Source organism: Homo sapiens, chromosome 12 (assembly GCF_000001405.40).
Source record: "Homo sapiens chromosome 12, GRCh38.p14 Primary Assembly".
NCBI lineage: Eukaryota > Metazoa > Chordata > Mammalia > Primates > Hominidae > Homo > Homo sapiens.
Window position 1 is genome coordinate 99,072,045 of NC_000012.12, and position 19,319 is coordinate 99,091,363.

General features: G+C 37.8%; 1 protein-coding gene and 1 pseudogene across 51 annotated transcripts in view; both read right to left on the reverse strand.

Annotated features, from left to right (window-relative positions):
- ANKS1B (ankyrin repeat and sterile alpha motif domain containing 1B) overlaps window positions 1-19,319 on the reverse strand; it is a 1,250,151-nt gene that overhangs the window by 337,259 nt on the left and 893,573 nt on the right. For all 51 annotated transcript variants that reach the window (XM_006719514.5, XM_006719507.5, NM_020140.4 and 48 more), the window contains one exon: window positions 12,881-12,979. In XM_006719514.5, coding sequence (XP_006719577.1) covers window positions 12,881-12,979 — 99 coding nt within the window. The remainder of the gene's footprint in view (window positions 1-12,880; window positions 12,980-19,319) is intronic.
- On the reverse strand, window positions 11,739-11,861 carry RNA5SP366 (RNA, 5S ribosomal pseudogene 366; annotated as a pseudogene).

Here is a 19,319-nt window from a genome sequence, read left to right on the forward strand (position 1 = left end):
TTATCAGTTTAGTAGATGACAATCAAATTGGAAAGTTTTGCCAGTTTCTTATCTAGAAAATGAATAACTGCACTGTGAGAAACCCACTAGCTCAGAGTAGAATGTTCACTATGCAATGCAGTCATGGGCATTTTTAGTCACGGACTCTCTTAGGTCAGTAATTGAGTTCTTTTCTGTTACTTCTTGGCTCCAGGCAAAAGCAACATCAAAAATGTATTGATTTTTGTTAATTTAGGGAGAATTTATTGAACAAATGCAAGTGGTCATAACTAATATTGAGTTCCTCTAAATGTCAGAAACTTCATATGCATTTTTGTATTTATATCTCACAATGACCTAATGTGATAAGTTCCACTATTATCTATTGTTTTATAGATAAGGACACTGGGATTAGAGAATTTAAGTAACTTGGCCAAGGTGACACAAGCAGTAGGTGGCTAAACTGGGATTAAATTAGATTTAACTAAAAGCTCAAGAGAGTTATTTTTTGAGCCCCTGCAAGATTGCAAGTTCCTTAAAGATGACTTAAGTGGATTATTTAGCTTACTCATCTCATTATCCCCTTAGTATCCTTAGGGTGCTTTGAAGTACAGCGTTTAGACAATACAGTGGGGTGGTTAAGAACCTCTGTTAAGCCGCCTCAGTATGAATTCTAGTTTATCCACCTAAAACAGCATTCACAGATTCCCATCATTTTCTGTCCATTTCTTGCTTAATAGTTCTCCATAGCATTTATCATTACCTGAAATTATATAGTTTTACTTCTTTTTTTCTGGGTCCCTCACTAGAATTTAAGCTGCACGAGGACAGTGACCTTGTAAGTCTTGCTTCCTAACACCAAATTCTCAATAGCTAGTACAGTGCCTGGCATGCAGTAAGTGGTTTAAAAATATCTATTGAATGAATAAATAAAAGGAGATACATTTTGCTTACCGTTTATGCCTGGAGTCGTAATTTTCAATACAATTAATGGGCCAAATGAACCCTACCTTTTTTCTTGGTTCAGCTTCAAACCTTCTTTTTAAAAGTGTATTTAATAGACACTAATATAGCACATATGCTTTGGAAAACTCCATTTTATGTGCTTTACAAATATTGACCCATTTAATTCTACAGAGAAGGTGAAATCATTACATCCATTCTAAAGGTGAGGAACCAGGCACAGAAAGATTTAGAAACTTGCCCATGGTCAGACAATTAGGCAAAGAATGGAGCCAAGATTCAAACTCGGATAGTCTGACCATGTTCCCAACCATTCCATTATGCTGCTTCCTAGATTAATCCCATAAAAATGTCATTTCCCTGGAGTTTAATGCTCTAAAGATGTGTCTTTGCTCTCTTAGAGAATGACCTTCCATCTTGCCTATTTTTCCTTCCTCTCTACCCAGATTAAGAAGGAAAATAAATTAAGATTATTTTACTTATTGAAACAGCACAGTATGCTATCAGTGAAGCTTCTCTCAGGCTACCTTCAAGGATAAATAAGTGAATGACCCCGGTGGCTGCTGGACAGCTCACATGGCCTATATCTGCTTTTCTTCTTTTTCATATTTGTCTTTTTCTTGTATTTCTAGAGCTCTTGGATTCCTGCTGCAACCCTTCCTTCTAGCCTTGAGAAGGGAGTTCAGTGGTCCATGGAGGCTGCAAAAACTGCCTTTTAAGCCTGAAATGTAAAAGGAAGGCCGATTTTATAAATGATTCCTGTTCTTGCTTTTAGTCAATTGGTTCTTTCATTTCCTGTCCCTTTTCAGTTTCTTTCACAAACACACAAGCAACTCACAGCCTTGGGTCTCTGATATAGCACCATATTCACTCAGGAGGCAATTGTCATGAGCACAGATATCTGGGATTTAGTTCCAGTTCAGTTACTAAGGAGCAATCTTCCTTGGGGCAAGTCATTTAATAGGACTGGGACTTAGTTTCCTCACCTGTGAAATGACTCCAGTGAGAGGAAGAGCTGGAGATTTAAAGGTCCCTTCCAGCTCTAAACTGTGATTATTCTTTGACGAATTATGTAAGGAAGGGAAAGTGCTCAGATATCTAAAGCCCTATTTCTCTCACTACAGATTGCAGGATAACTCCAAGGGAGCCACTGTTCTTTATTAAATGGGGGTGAACTTCTCAGAATTGAAGGATGACGGCTGCTGGGGATAGCAATAGATCAGAACCTATTTTCCTGCCTAATTCCTTCCCTATTTCTCTGTAAATATCAGAAGGAGATTAGGAGTAAAAGTGATATTTCAGCTCTGTGGTCTACATAATAAACGATTCCAAGATAAATTCTTAAAAAAAAAAAAAACACTAAAAAGTTCTGCCTCTTTAGCTTGGGAAGAATGTAGTAGCCATCTTGCTTTGTGAAACTGCACAAAAAACTTGGAGCAGAGCATGGGTAAGTATGTTTGAATTGCGTGCTCTCACGCCCAGCAGTTGTTTAAAAATCTATCCAGCCCATACAGTTATTGCGATTTTGCATTTTGTACATATGGGGCTTTGTCATTTCAAAGGGTGCAAAGAGCTTCATGAACAATGGCCATTCCTTCTCTCGATGTGACCCCGTAGAACAGACTAGTTATTGGTCATCACTTGTAAACAGGAAGCATGAATCTCACCCTAGGAAATGCAGGCCGCCAGTGCTGTCATGCTTACATGAAGGACATGCCTTATCCCTTTGTAAAACATTTAAAAATAAAGGCACTCAGTTTGGAAATATCTTTGAGCATCCTAACCTGACCCATTCAGAACTGACCTCTAATCAGCATTTTTGTTTGGCTCAGTCCAGTCTAATAAATATTAACTGGGCATTACTATGTTCATGATCTGTGTGCTCCATACCTAGGAAAGGAAGATGAACATGGCCAAGATCCTAATCTTGAGTAAGAGACAAATTAGTCAACAGGTGGTTTTTATGAGGTGTAATGGGAACACAGAAGGGTTAAATCATCTATCCCAGAGAGAAGATGTTGTAAAGATTTCTCCAAGGCTTAAGTATTAAGGAATGAATAGGAGTTACCCATGGGAAGAAGGATGAGAGTTAAGGTACAGAAGGAGATGATGTTTCTGGCACAGAATGACTAGATTCTCAGGAATTCTATCACATATTCCTAGGAAGAGAGATAATACTTCTTGGCCTAATTTGCAGTTTAATGAGGGCTATGAACCTGAATCCTGGTGAATCAAATGTGATTTAAAGTAAGTGATGCATTTCCTGTCCTGGCAATAGAACATCCCAAGTGATCTTCTATGTTCCTCTCTACCCTGCTGTCATGGCAGCCCACAAAGAACTCCAGGATGGAAGGGTCCATGATGGAAGAAGCCAGGGTCCCTGAATTACTGGTTGGAGGAGAGCTGCCTGACCCACACTGGACTTAGCATGTGTGAGAAATAAATTTAACAGTGTTAAACCACTGAGAATTTGGAGCTGTTTGTTACAGTGGCTAGGTTCATTACCCTGATCATACTGTGTGCCAGGCTAAGGAATAATAAAAGGGATCTGAATGACTTGCTGTCACTTCAACATTTATATAGCCCAAATAACTTAGGTTTTTGACCTTAACATTGATTACTCTTTCTTCCTTTCTCATCCAATGGCACCAATGATTTCTTTCTTAAAAAGGTGATCTTTTACAGTCTTTCAGCAAGTCAACTGCTCCTCCTGAGTATATTATCAGCATCTTGTGTCTTTTAATGACATTTGTCTATTGTATATAATTATATAACATTATATCTATTATTATATCTATTATTGTATAACATATATAATATACAACAAAAAATGTATTATCGTATATATAATATATGTTTTATATTATATATACTATACATTTGTATTATAAAATATATATCATATTGTATATAATAGGTTATAATAGGAATATAATATGTTAATGTTATACAATATAGCATGTATATATAATGAAATATCATTTCAAAGGTATCTCTATATAAAAATCAATTTTTCTCATTAGAATACACATTTTATGAGGGCAAGGGCTTCATCTATATTACTCATTACTGTAACCCTAGTGCTAAGGGAAATGACTAGTATATAGTAAGCACTCACAGTTATTTTCAGAATGAATGAATAAAGATAAATATAATAGAATAGAGGCTGGGTTTTTTAAAAGAAATGGACTTCAGCTGTGTTCAGATGTAGGCGTTCTGAAGGCAGAAAGAGCTCCAAACCCAGACGAGGGTTGACAGTTGCTCATATGAAGGTGATAGCAGAAGCTATGCAGGCAAATGAAGGCGCCTCAGGAGGGTAAGGGAAGGAAGAAGATGAGAGAATTAAGGCTGAATTTTAGGGAATATCAATGTATAAAATAGACTAAGTATAAGCAGCTAATGAAACAATATTAGAAAAAGTAAGGAAAGTAAAGAGAGTATTGCGGCACAGAAACAGAACTCTGTAAGAATCACAGTTTTGGGGTCAGATCTGTGAGTACAGCATATTCAATAAACACCTGTCTATTGATTGAAATAAGTGCTGAACACTGAATAGCATATAGTCCCATGAAGATGGTCAAAGGGGCTGACTCCTTTTCTAAAAGACATATAGCCAATGTCATCCCTGTTAATTATACACATTTCTCTGGGATGACATCAGGAGGCTTGGGTTACCCTGGGGCCTTTCACTAGTCTGATAAAGTAGGCTATATTTCTGATCTGAGTTCTTCCCTGTTTAGAAGATTCTCAGAAGTATGGAAAAGTTCTTAATCTAGCTGGATATTTATTGATAAGTTACGGGTCAGTAAACTATGCCTACAGTCTAAGCCTGGTCTATTGCCTGTTTTTTTAAATAAAGTTATTTGGAACACAGCCACACTCATTCATTTCTGAATCATCTATGGCTATTTTCACTCTGCAACAGGGTTGAGTAACCACAATATAGGACATATGGCCAGCAGAGTATAAAATATTTATGATATGGCTTTTCACAGAAAAAGTTTGCCAACCCCTGAGCACTGAGCATATCTGTTTTGCACCCCCGGCAAAAAAACAAAAAACAAAAATACAAAAAGCAAAACAAAAAAAACCCCACAAGACATTTTCAGAACTGAGTGGAGCTTGTAAGAACCCTGGGAATACCACAGCCTGTCTTACTAAGGACTGGACCTATAGGAAATAGAATATTCTGTGCCTTCGGTGAGACTGGGTCCCGTCATGTATTTACTTTAGGTTAGGACCTCCATGCTAACAGTGCACGTATGTGGGTGTGAGATTCTCTTTGACCGTGTATCTTTAACTGATGTCCACTGGGTGGTAGGCCAACACTGAGTGGCAGTGAGTTTAAGACATGCAATAAAAAGAATAAAAAGAAATGCAAGTGAAAAGAATGAGGGTAGATGGAGAGTGAGTGATGGGATGGGAGAATGAAAATAAGTCGCCCTGTCAAAAGGTACCATGAGAGCATCTATGCCTGTGGGCTATATTTTGTCATTGCCCTTCTGAAAAATACCAGAAGAAATAAGAACAAGTTTCTATCATTTTTCTAAGTGACAGGGAAATAAGACTGAACCTTCCTTTCTAGACTTTTAAAGAAATAACATTGGTTGTACACTTTTCCGCTAAAGCGTACACACATCTGCGTCAACCATCAAGCCTAGAATCAATAAACATCTGAATGTTAAGGACTTAGAGAGCACTAGCGTCTTTAAGAGAATGACTCTGTTCTCTTGAAGATGCTAGTTCTTTCAAGGTCCTTAAAATTATCTTCATAGAATGTCTCTGTTCTCTTAAAGACTCTAGTTCTTTCAAGGTCCTTAAAATTCAGATGTAACTTCTTTGAAAGAATGTCACATTCCTAATACTCCTTTCAAAGGCTGAAATAACCTGTGATCTCATCATATTAAGACATTTCTAGAGTGATTCTCTTCATCTATGACATAGGGGTAGCAGAGTGACACCTATAACCAAATCTGGCCCCCAATGCTTTGTTTTGTTAACAAAGTGTTTATGAAAGAAACCCACAGTTTTTTTGGGGGGTGAGGAGGGGCAGGACTTCTGCTCTCCAGTGTGCCACAGTTTCCACCACTCCATATTGTCTTTTCTTTAAAAGTGTTTGAGTTTTCAATCCCTACAATCTCTGCCCACACCATTTTGAGGGGGCCAACTGTTGCTTTGATCTATTTTCTTCGTTCAGGCCTAAAATTAAATGACCACTTGTAACTTTCTAGCTATGTTAGTTTATTAGAACCCGTTTTATTTGCTAACATTCTTCAAGTTTTGTCCAATAGAGTTTAGTAGACTCACTGACCTAATATATATGGTAAAATACTCTTTTCAGTAATGAGGCAACAATGAAGAATAAATACATTTTAAGAAACTGTGCTGTTTTATGGGATTACTGATTTGTGTATATCACTTAGATCAGTGATGTTCAGGTTATGAAGTGATTATGTACAATTTGCAAATATCTAGTGTCCCTAACTTCTGTATTATCTTATATCATGCTACATTATACCTAACTCTACAGACCAGAGACATGTGCCTCTTTTTTGAGTGGCAGTAGCAAAGGTGGCTCTTAAATCATCTGACTGTGAACAATACAGTCCCAGGAAGATGGCCCAAGGAAATAAAGGGTGTTTTTTTCCTTGTAGTTTTTGACGGATTATTCCATTTTAACTACAAATGTGGACAATGGAAACTAGGCTGTAAAGTAGATCATTATAAAATGTACCTGGCCAACTTCTAAGATGTACCCCACCCTGCCCGCCCTACCCCATGGTCCCCACCGTCTGGTATTCACGCCCTTGTGTAAACACCTCTATTATGTATGAACTGAATCTGGTGACTTGATTGTAATGAATAGAAAATGGCAAAAAGATGGGATGTCACTTGTGTGATTAGGTAGCAAAAGACTGTGACTTCCATCTTGCTAGCACTTTCTTGTCTTCTCACTTGCTTGTTCTGTTGAAGCTAGCTGCATGTTGTGAGATGCTCTATGTGGTGACAAGGAACTAAGGGAGGCCTCAGCCAACAGTGTGTGAGGCACTGAGGCCTCAGTCCGAAAATCCCTAAGAGCCTGAATCCTGCCTACAACCATGTGAGTGAGTTAGGAAGTAGATCCTCTTGACTTGAGTCTTGAGACAGCTGTAGCTGTCTGAAAGATCCAGAGACAGAGGACCCAATCAACATTGTACCTGGATTCCTGACCCACAGAAATTGGGAGATAATAAATGTTGTTATATGCCACTAAAATTTGGGGTAATTTGTTCTTTAACAATACAGAATATAAATCATCTATTGGAATAACAGCAAAAATTTTTTTAGCCAAAGCCTCAAACTGAGGATAGAGAAGGGGGTAATTTAATCCATTCATTCAGAGGTTCTCAGTGCCATTCAGTGAAAAAAATAAATATATGTAGCTCCAATAAATATTGGTTAAACTGAGCAGAACTCAGAAGTAAAGGGCCACTAAAATTCAGGTGTTCATTATGTAGTAAAGTAACAGTAGCAATGAACAAAAGTGAATACCAGACGTCGCACTAAGATCAAGAGTCCTGTGATAACAATATTTACTAGTCATCAAATATTTTTGGGTTTGAGTTTTGAGGAACTCCAGGATTTAACCGAGGAGAATGAGTAGGCAGAGAGACAACAGCAGAGATGCAGAGAGTAACTACGTATTGTGGAAGCCGAAAGAAGACAATGTTAATAGTGAAAATTTGCCCCATGGGGTTAACAAGAATCCTTGAGCTTGCCTTGCAAGAAGACAGACGAAGAAACAGCTTGTTATAATTCTCTCTGCTTGCAACAAAACTGGCTGACTGGCTGAAACTGGCTGGAACCAATAAGGCTGACTGGAGTCAGAATGGCACAGAATAGACTCGCTCTCCTGGGGGGTGACGTTTTGATGTCACAGCCTGAATTTCCACGTCATGTTTCAGACCAGTTCCCCATGAATTTGCACAGGCAACCCACGGAAAAGCACGAAGGGACAACTGCGCATGCTCAACGGACTTTCCAAACTTCCCATTCCTTTCTGCCAATCACTAACCAACCGGGAAGCCCCGCCCCCAGAATCTCTCCCTTAAATATACCGCTTTAAGGCTGGTACAGGGCGACGGATTTGAACTGGATTCCTGCCTCCTTGCTTGGCCGCCTTGCAATAAACCTTTCTCTCTACAAAATCCAGCGCTTCAGTGTTTGGCCGCAATTGTGTGCAGGCAAATGAACCCAGTTTGGTTGATAACAATAATTGTCAATAGTATCAGAGTCTGCTGAAGTCAAAGTAGGGTGGAGATAACAAAGGGCTTATGGAATTTCTGATCTTCTGCTTACTGGTGACCTTAGCACTGGTTGTAGGAGGTCGCAGCAGAGAAACAACTCAAGCCCTTGAGGGATTAGTGGAGCAAAGGAAATGGGGAGACGTTGAGTATAGACAACTACTAAGTAATTCCAAAAGGTATTATAAAACTGGAAAGCATTAGAAGAAGAAATATTGAAAAACAGCGTGAGCATACAATATAAAAGTTGCTTATGTGCTGAAATATACTGTCAACTCAGGTTGAGGGATATGAAGAGAGCAGATGCGATATGAGCCTTGACACAAAGTCCTGCAAACCTTTAAAATGAAAATCCTTTGAATGCCTGACCTTCAGGTGTTATATTATCAAAGGACAGAAGCGTTTATGCCCTTTTAAAAAGGAAAATGTATTAGAGGATTATCCAAAGACTTGGCCACATACAATTCTTTTCTGGAAAAAACTAAGTTTTATGTTGAAAATAAGTAATCAGGTAATATCCCTGTGTCCAAAGAGACAGAAAAAGCACAATAAACTTAACATTTCTAGGACAGTAGAAAAAAAGCCATTTTCTTGTGGAACTTTGGGTTTGTTTCCTTTCATAAAAAGGGAAAAAGGTGAAATTTGATCTTCAAGAAGTCCAGGAAAGCTTTTAGAGCTGAGAAAAGACAGAGTTGGGGTTGGTGAGGGAAGTAGACTCTGGGTGAAAACGGATAATTAAGCTTTACAAAAGGTCAAGCATTGCAAAAGACAGCGAGAAAGATGCATTCTATGTGTTGAATGTATCAAATGTAGTTGAGAAGATGTAAATCTTCGCATTGGTGAATATTTCAGTATTAAAAAAGACATATTAAAGAATAGCTATTCTTACAAAAGGAATAAACTTTTTTCTTTGAAGCTTGACACAACATATACAAATAAAAGCATGAAAAATATGCTTTGAAGTGTGCTAACACATCAAGATTGTACTGAGCAAAGCACCTTTTCTCTGTTTAGGAACAATCTCACTAATTCCACAACACAATATGTTAATTAAAGGATCCCAGGTAGCAATCATGGAATATTTCTTCTCATGACAGATGAAGAATACAAATATTCTGAAGACTGAAATTGTATAAACAAAATGAAGAGACATTTTGTCCGTTTTCTGGCAGTGCAAAGTTAAAGTGAATGCAGATGAATGTGCTGGCAATAAAATGACACTATTAACCATCTGAAGATCGGGCTCATTACCTAAGAAGGCAAAGCATCAATTTGTGGCATTACAACATTCTATTTGTGCTGCTCAATGTGCGTCTGGATGTTTTTATATACTCTCTACTAATTTGTGTGCAGAGTGAGCTCTTCTGCATCAGCCTCTCTATAGAAGCTTAATTTTGTATTGTTTCTCTTATATTATTTTCTCTAATGAGAATGATATTCTGTATTAGAAATAAACACTTCATTTATTCTTCAAATAATTCTACGTTCAGTTTCTCTTGTTTTGCATTATCAAGTGGTGTGTACAGGATTACAGATATATCTTAAAATTGAGGTGCTCTGATTAAAAATATACATTTGAATGACATGTGAGGAAAATATTCATTCACTCAGTCACTCACTCATTCATTCTTAAAAGAATGTCTATGTATTGGGTTAAGCATCATGGGAAATTCAAGGATGTTGCACTGTCTCTGCCCTCAGGATGTTTATAGCATAGAAGTGGCTGAATGTTATTAGTACCTTGAGATAGGAACAAGGACAGGGCCATAAAATCTCAGAGGAAAGGGAAGGTCAGTGTATTTTCTCATACCACAAGTATTACTTGGGTACCTACTATGTGACAGGTGCTATTCTAGAGGCTGGATATATAGAAAAGAGAATAAGACAGTCAAGGTCCCTGACCTTATGGACCTTGCTTCCTGAGGGTGAGATGGAAAATAATGAAGAAAAAAAGCAAATAAATAATATAACTTCAGATCACACTAAGTGGCATGAAGAAAAATAAAGCAGAGCAATAGCAAGAACAGTGATGGTAAGGGAAGGATGTGAATTTTAGCTCATGAAGGCCCCTGTGAAGATGTCACATTCGAATAGAGATTTGACAATGTATAGGAGCAAGTGTATGAAGTTCTGAAGGAAGGGCTTTCTAGGTAGTGGGACCTTTGTAGGACAGGATAAAGACTTTATTCTAAGTGGGAAGGAAATTCACTGGAGAATTGAAGCAGGGTATAGCATGACCTGATTTATATTTTAGAAGGATCATTCCAGATACTGTATAGAAATTCAATTATAGAGGGGTAAGAAGGTAACCTGGACAGAGGTTAAGCATCTGTGAATAGTCCAGGATAGAGGAGAACAATGAGAACTTGATTCATGTAGTCTAACCAAGGATGACAGACTGGAATGCACTGTGGTAGTCCATCTAGATAGAGGTGGTTGGTGAGGACTAGGTTGATAATTACTTAGATGGTAAGGAGCGGTTCCATTTTGAAGGAAGTTGCACAAAGGAAGTGATATGATATGATAATATCTGAGTTGAACTTTAAATGAATGGCAGCATGTGACAAAGCAAGTAGTCATTCATGGATTTGTTGAGTGCTTATCTATTTTTATGAACCAGGCACTGTGCTAGGTGCTATAGATACAGCAGTATGGAAGCCATTGCTGAAAGTGAGAACAACAAAACTTGCTGAGAAGGTAATATTTTAAGTAAACATACACAAGCAGAGAGGTGAACAATATGCTCATAGGAATTACTTCCTGAATTGGTTCTAAGGATGTTTTATTCTTTTCCATTTAGTGTAGAAAATTATGTGATTAAACTCCTTTGTATATTTGGCTCAGTGAATTTGCAAAAGGAGTAAGTGTCTATCAGTAGAAATTCAATTCACTGTCAGTTGGGAAATTTCATCAGACAATTTCCTTAGAAATAGTGGCTAATATTTACTTTTCCCACTTAGGGAGGGAGAAAGTATAGCCTCTCTAGAAAGAATAGGAGGATAGGAGAGTACAAAACCTAGGACAATCTCAAATATCCAGGTGTATCTATTACAGTTCATCTGCCACCTGCCTCCAATCTGCCCCACAGTCTTTTTGCAAACAGATGACCCAACTTCAACTTTCCCTCCTTCTAATCCCACTTGTACACTGCCTCTAGAATTAACTGGCCTAAAGTAGTCCAGTCATGTCCATTCCCCAGTGCCTACAGAATAAATTTCAAATTCCTCAGCCTGACACACACTGACCCAACCTACTTTTTCTGCTTTATCTCTGACTACACACTTCTCAATTGTTTTAATCACCTTGAATTTTCTTCCTCTTTTTAAAATTATTTTTTGAATTGCATGAATATGTTATGAAATACACATAACATAAAACTTACCATCATCGCCATTTTTAGGTGTATATTTCAGTGGCATGAAGTACATTTGCATTGTTGTACAAATCCCATTGGATTTTAAATGTCTATTTCCCTCATACTTCCAGCAATTTGTTGCCTGAACCAAATTTGTTTTTATATGGTTCCTGGGGCCTCCTGAAATGCCTTTTCCCATCCAAGTACTAACCAGACCCGAACTTGCTTAGCTTCCGAGATCAGACGAGATCGGGCACGTTCAGGTTGGTATGGCCATAGATCTGAAATGCATTTTCCTTTCCTTATCAATTAAAATCCCACATATCTGAAAGATTCATGCTCAGATTTTGCCTCTTCCTTTAGGCTACTTTGACACCTTATCTGGAAACAGGAGGTCAACTCTGTTGCTAGGTAACACACTGCTTACAGTAAAAATGATGCCTGGTTGGTAAATTGCATCTGGACTAGGAGGGCCTATACATGAACTATAAATACATGATGGGGATGTGATACTTTGGACTTCCCTGAGTAATGACTCGTGTAATTAGGTCCCTTGTAGGGACCATGGAGGATAAGTCTATGGAGTTGTTGCAGGAGATATCGTCTCTTATGGGGCAGGAGGCTTTTAAGCCAGGGCCATTCCTGCACCCACCCAATATGAATCTAGTCTTCTTGAACCTGAGCTGCCACCTGGGGGGCCAGAACTGATATTTGTACTGATATTAGGACTCTCACTGAAGAGAAAATCTGAAGCTTCCCTGGTGGCCAGCAGTGTTTTCTGTATCACATTTTTCTAGGTAAATCTCAAGCTAAGGGTTCATGCCTGTAATCCCAGAAGTCTGGAAGGCCGAGGTGGGTGGATCACCTGAAGTCAGGAGTTCAAGACCAGCCTGGCCAACATGGCAAAATCCCATCTCTACTAAAAATACATACACACACAAAAATTAGCCAGGCATGGTGGTGTGTACCCATAACCCCAGCTACTCAGGAAGATGAAGCAGGAGAATTGCTTGAACCCAGGAGGTGGAAGTTGCAGTGAGCCTAGATCATACCATTGCACTCCAGACTGGGTGACAGAGAGAGACCTTGTCTCAAAACAAAAAAACAATAAAACCTCAAGCCAAGTGTGGCCCATAGTAGTCTCATAAGTCTGAATGTGCAGTTGGACCTAAGAAGATCTGCTCTTGAGGTTGCATCAATATGTAGAACTACTGTACTAAATACAAATACTCCTTGCATGCCTGGACTCAAAATCACTGGGAACCGTACACAGGACTAGGGCAATAAAAGTATTGCTCACCTTTGGAAGGAGCTGGATTGCCTGTAGAATTCTTTGTCTGTGCCCAGAATTAAGGATTCCAATTTCCAACAAATCCTGATCTTCCATAACATTGCTTCCCTGAAACAAAACAGAAATGTTACAAGTTAAATCAAGCATTTATACTGTGGATAAATAACAAGGATTTATTTAATACAGAGAAAACCAGTGAGTGACCTGATTTTTATGAACAAAGACATAGAGTCATTCTTCCGTGAGGGTGAGGGCAGAGTCGGTCACCTTGTTACTGATGTGAAGTCTAGGAGAAAGCTCCCCTCCCCTCACAAATATCTATCGTGGCTTATATCCACATGGGGTTATCTGCACTGGAGATTCATTCGTGTGACTTAAAACTTTGTTTCTGCACATTGTGCACATGTACCCTAAAACTTAAAGTATAATAATAATAAAATAAAAATAAATAAATAAAAAAAGATCCAAAAAAAAAAACTTTGTTTCTGTAAAAATGTGAATGCTTCTAGTAAGAGTTGCCATTTAAGATTATCAGTGACTTACACATTGATATGAATGAATCATTTTTCCCCCCTTGATGACAGATTTTGTGCGGAAGGCTGATAGAAAAATTGACATATATTAGGCAGGTTAAAAGTGAGAGTTAATACTTAATTTCAAAATATTGAGTCACAATAGCAAACACATAGAATCAACCTAAATGCCCATCAGTGATAGCCTAGATAAAGAAAATGTGGTACATATACACCATGGAATACTGTGCAGCCATAGAAAAGAATGAGATCATGTCATTTGCAGGGACATGGATGGAGCTGGAGGTCATTATCCTTAGCAAACTAATGCAGGAACAGAAAACCAAACACCACATGTTCTCGCTTATAAGTAGGAGCTAAATGATGAGAACACACGGACGTAGAGGGGAATAATACACGCTGGCGCCTGTTGGAGGGTGGAGGATGGAGGAGGGAGAGGATCAGGAAAAATAACTCATCAGTACTAGGCTTAACACCTGGGTGATGAAATAATCTGTACAACAAAGCCCCATGACACAAGTTTACCTACGTAACAAACTGCATGTGTACTCTTGAACATAAAATAAAAGTTAAAAAAATTATTGAATGCCAGACACCAGATCACGATATGAAGATTGAATGATGAATATGATGCAGGGCCCTACCCACAACTGCCTTTATTCCTTCCAGTCCCGTGATGGAAAGGGACTGTTCAAAGGCAGTTAGGTAGGATGCTGAGACTGTGCTATGATGGTGACACTTGCTTAGGAGTCCAGAGGGAATCCAGGGTATTTTTTCAGAGAAAAGGACATCTAATCAGATATAGGAAAAATGGGTGGTTAAGGCATAGCACCTAAAAGAGGAAGGACAATGGGGAAATTATGTGCAAAGACCTGTGAGTAAGAAGGAATGTAGTATACTTGGAAGCATCATGTTCTGGGATAATATGGAGAGAGGAGCAAACGGTAAGGCTGAATGAGTAAGCAGAGGGCAGACCATACAGATATTGCATGCCATGCTGAGGGCTTCAGACTTTATCCTGACCATAATGGGTAGCCATGGACAGCTTTTAAGAAAGAGAGTTACATGCTGAGATTCCAAATTTAGAAACATTATTTTGATTTCTGGGGCTGGGCCTCAGTTTCCCTACCTATAAAATGATAAAGTTGAGCCCACAATGTCCAAGGACCAGTTCAGTCCTAAAATTCTGATTTCAATGGTTATTTTAAACCTGTGATTAATATTTGAATGCAGAAGTTTACATATTGCTCATTTTATCCCTAGATTTTAATCTTTCACGGTTTGTAAGACAGAGTTTCTCTTTAAATTGAGGCGTCTATAGAGGTTCAAGAATTCAGATCACTATTTTTTTTGACAAATCAAACTCTGTCCTACTTATGTGTAACACAAAAACGCAAGAATAGAAATGACAGAATATCCATTTATTTAGTGATGAGTACCATTAGACACTCAAAGCAAAGGAGAATGAATTTGAAAGGGTGATTCTGGGGCATGGAGACCACTGTGGTTGTTTTCTAGAGGCGCTGTGGGCATAGACTAACGTAGTAGTCACAGGAGCAAAAAGAAGCAGGTGGATTTGCAAACTATCAGGAAGTTTGACGTGGAGATTGAACATGTGGAATGATGCAGAAATGTGGAATACACAAAAATTCAAGGCTTGGGCAGTGAGTGGAACTTGATGCCTTTTCCTGCCATAATAAAGGAGGAAGAACAGCCCTGGTGGGGCGCAAAGTGAGACTAACATCTTTCCCTGGACAGGGACAGAATAGATGCATGTAAACAACTTAATAATATCAGACTATGCTATAAATGGATAACTGGCTGTGCTTAGAAGGATTAAAGCCACTGGAATGGCACAACAGCTAGGGATTTAAAACGGGCATTCACTGGACAAAAGCATTCCACCTACTCATAGTGTCATTCTTATGCTTAAGCAACACCAGCCATCTCGGAGGAAGCAGAATGATCCAGGTATTCAGCAGCATGATAATGAAAAGCCTAATGAAAAACAAATAAAGCCAGTCTTGGCAACATGCCACAGGAAATATTGCTCTCAAGAAATTACTCAGTGCACACAACAGAGCATGGCTGAGAATACAAATGACTTCATTTAGAGAAAGCGTTATTATTTCCAGAAATGGACTAGTATGGCATGAGCGAGATATGTGATACCATTCTGACTTTTACTCTTTGAGGAGTTACCTGGCCCTTAAGAAAAAATCTTTCGTCATCTTTGTGCTAGAACATTACCAGGTTTTCCAGGTCCTAACTTACCAACCCACAACTTCAGCCCATGTAGAATAGAGGACCTGGTTTTTTTGCAGAAACAGAAAGCATACGAATATCCCATAGTGTGCATAGCTACTATCTCTAGGTAATCCTGACAACTGGATTTCAGTGTTTGAATACTGAAATGTTTTGGTAAATTAAATCCTAAAGATCACTGTTCTTCCTCTACACCTCCAATATGCTATTTTCTGTATCTCAGTAAGAGAGGAGTCCTTTTGAAGAATTATAGGGAAGTTAGATATTTTTAAAGAAGGTGTTGAGTACATAAGAACATCTTTTTGAGCCAAATTTCCTAGCATATAGGATAATTGCCAAACATTTTTGAAAAATGAACCAAAATTATGGGAAGCACAAGAAAAATAGTGAAAATGTGTCAAAGGGGAAATGGCACTAATTGGGAAATGGAAAGGAAAGGATTTACTGTCCCCAGTGAGGCATGCTGTTAGAAATTTTCTATTTTATCTTTTTCTATAATACATAGGGATGCCAAAAATATCCTAGTACATCATTCAGCCAGCCTTTTGTCCAAACACTAGGGGACTTGGAGTCTGCAGAACTGGGTTTGGATCATGGCGGGGCAAACTTGGCTAAGTCATACATTCTTTGTAGGCTTCCTGGTCCTCACCCACCAAATGAAGCAGTTTAATGAATATGTATTCAGTTTCAAAATGCTATGATTTCAGCCATGTTTGATTTTTGGTTGGTATCATTATATATAAATATAGATTGTATATTTTGAAATTATGTTTCAGTGTTTCAGAATTTGTAACCTAAAATTAGCTTTAAGAAGTGATTAAAGAGAAATTCAAGAATATATATTTTTTTTTGACAAATCAATCTTGGTATGATGGACTTATAAAATTTCTTATTAAAGGAAATTATAAGGTAACTTATTTTTGTAGTAGTACGGATTCTTATAGCTTTTCAGGGAAAAACAAAATGTTTCAAACCTTATAACTATCTAACCATTTCTTTGGCACCTGGGTGACAGTTGTGCCATCAAAGACAATAAACATTCCCATTCTTCCTAGGGAGCTGGAATTAATTCTCACTTTATCACTTGCCTTTACTAAATGCTAGCAAATCTCAGTTTAACTTCTGTTTTTTTTTTTTTTTTTTTTTTTTGAGATGGAGTTTCACTGTTGTTGCCCAGGCTGGAGTGCAATGGCACGATCCTGGCTCACTGCAACCTCTGTCTCCTGTGTTCCAGTGATTCTCATGCCTCAGCCTCCCAAGTAGCTGGGATTACAGGTGCCCGTCACCATGCCTGGCTAACAGGGTTTCATCATGTTGGCCAGGGTGGTCTCGAACTCCTGACCTCAGGTGATCCATCTGCCTCGGCCTCCCAAAGTGCTGGGATTACAGGCGTGAGCAACCGCTCATTTTTCTCAATAAAAACTGAACACAACTCTAGCTTTCTTCCTCCTCCATCATTTTTTTTTTTCACATAACTTTTAGGTCAATGATTTGGGGGCAGAGCTCCGTCATGTCCATCTTCTGTTTAGTCATCTACTACACTGCACTCTCAATCTCCTTTCCTACCCAGTACACTCCAGTCCCATGTTTTCATCTCCCATTTTCCTCCTCAACCCACCAGAATAAGCTGTTCCCCCCCATCAACTCCATAGAACTTCTCTGTCAAATGTTAAGAATGACCCCTCAATTGCCAAATATAGTTGATTCTTTTAAATCTTGATTTCAAGAATTTACTTGCCATATGTAGGTGATGGCCACCATATTGGACAACAAAGATACAGAACATCGCCATCATTGTAGCAAGTTCCATTAGACAGTGCTACTCTACAGTTAGAGACATTGAAACTTTAGTCAAATCACAAAAATGGGGCAGTAGCAGGGAATCAAATCAGGGACTCAAAAATACTCATGAGTTTTTCTCAGGATGTAGTTATTCATGTGCCTCTTAGTCAAAGTTCATGAACATTAAGTTTAGGATCTTTAGCAAATTCTCTTTTAATTCTTCAGTCACCAAAAGAAATTAGAAGGTTGTTCTACTTTCAGCAACATTTCTTTATGGTGGGGCTATAAATCTATGCTATGAAAATGACAAGTCCAATCACTAAATTATTTTTGACTTTCTTAGCATCCACCAATCACACTGCATAAGGTGTTTAAATAACAATAATCAATAAATAAAGTTGTTTAGTTAATGACTTTCTAGAATGATCAAAGACCCAAATGCAGTATTTTTAGAATAGCTGTTCTTTGCCTGTCAAGAAATGTCTAATGCAGGGTGTCTTTATTGATCTCTTAAATCATGGAATGGAAAAAGTCACCTAATGTTTTATGCACTAATAGCTGAAAGTGGAAGTTTCTTTGACCACGGGGAGAATATCTTAGGTACTGAACTTCTTCAGCTGTGATAAACTGTTAGGATGCCCAAATAGAATGAAAAGCAGTGTTTTGTATTTAATTATTCATTAGAAGTAAAACAGCTATTTACCAAAAACATCTCAAAAATATCTGTACTGATGGCTCTGTCTCTCCAAACTCTGCATTTAAAATTTCTTGTAGTTTTTTAAACTTAATACGATATCTTATTCATTTAGCAAGCTTTCCTTCATATTATATATTGTAGAAAATGTTAGGAAAATATATTTAAGGACCACAGGGAACTGGCTTATTCTTAATATAAACTTGAGTTGGATAATGTTATTTATTCTCTTCCTTCATCCAGTCCAAGACTAAAAAAATCAAGATGATACTGTTGATTGGGGAAACTTGTTTTTGCTCTATAATTAGCTAAATTAGATTCTTCTCCACAATTTATGTGACCTTAAATATTTAAAATAGAATCACTGTATAATAGAATGACAGCAAGATCTTACAAACTTACACATAGAAAAACATGTACTTTAGTTTGCTTTTAATATTTAGCCTTTTATAACATAAATAGCATGGTAGCATGAAACTGTACATAATTTTCTTGGAATAACAATGCTACCTCTCTGCTTCTATAAAAGCTTTGAGTCAATTTGATATCAATTTACAAGTAAACCCAATGCATGTCTTCTCTGCATGATTATGATAATGGTTATTGTGCTAAATACCAGATTTATTATTCCTCTGTCAGTGTTGGAACAAAGCTTTATTTAGCTTATCATATAGAAACACGGGTGACTATAACTGATCAGATAATGGATGATGTGCTTCTTCCAACTTTAACTTCCTCTCTCACATTAATGAAATGGCAGTGGAAGAAAATTCTATAGTACACTAAAAAATCCCTCTACCCTAATCCTCCATTTAAACATATTCTGTCTACCGCAATAAAATTTCTTGCATACAACTTAAGTAAATTTTCATGTTTTTAGCTTATGAAGAAAGCTTTCTGGATTCTTCAGACTATGTGGACTATTGATTCAAAAAATATTACATCACTGACCAATAAGACATCATCTTATATGTGCAAGCTGTGTATTTTAATAAATTATATCTTAAGGTTAAGATATAGTTTAGCATTATATATTTAACAGCTACCATGATTACAATGAATTTTCTGTCACCGATTTTTTCCTCTTTATTTTTGAAACCCAATTCCCCTTTGAAACATCTGTTGTCAAGCTACAGAGAAAGAGAAGGAATTTAAGTAACCAGGTATTTATTTG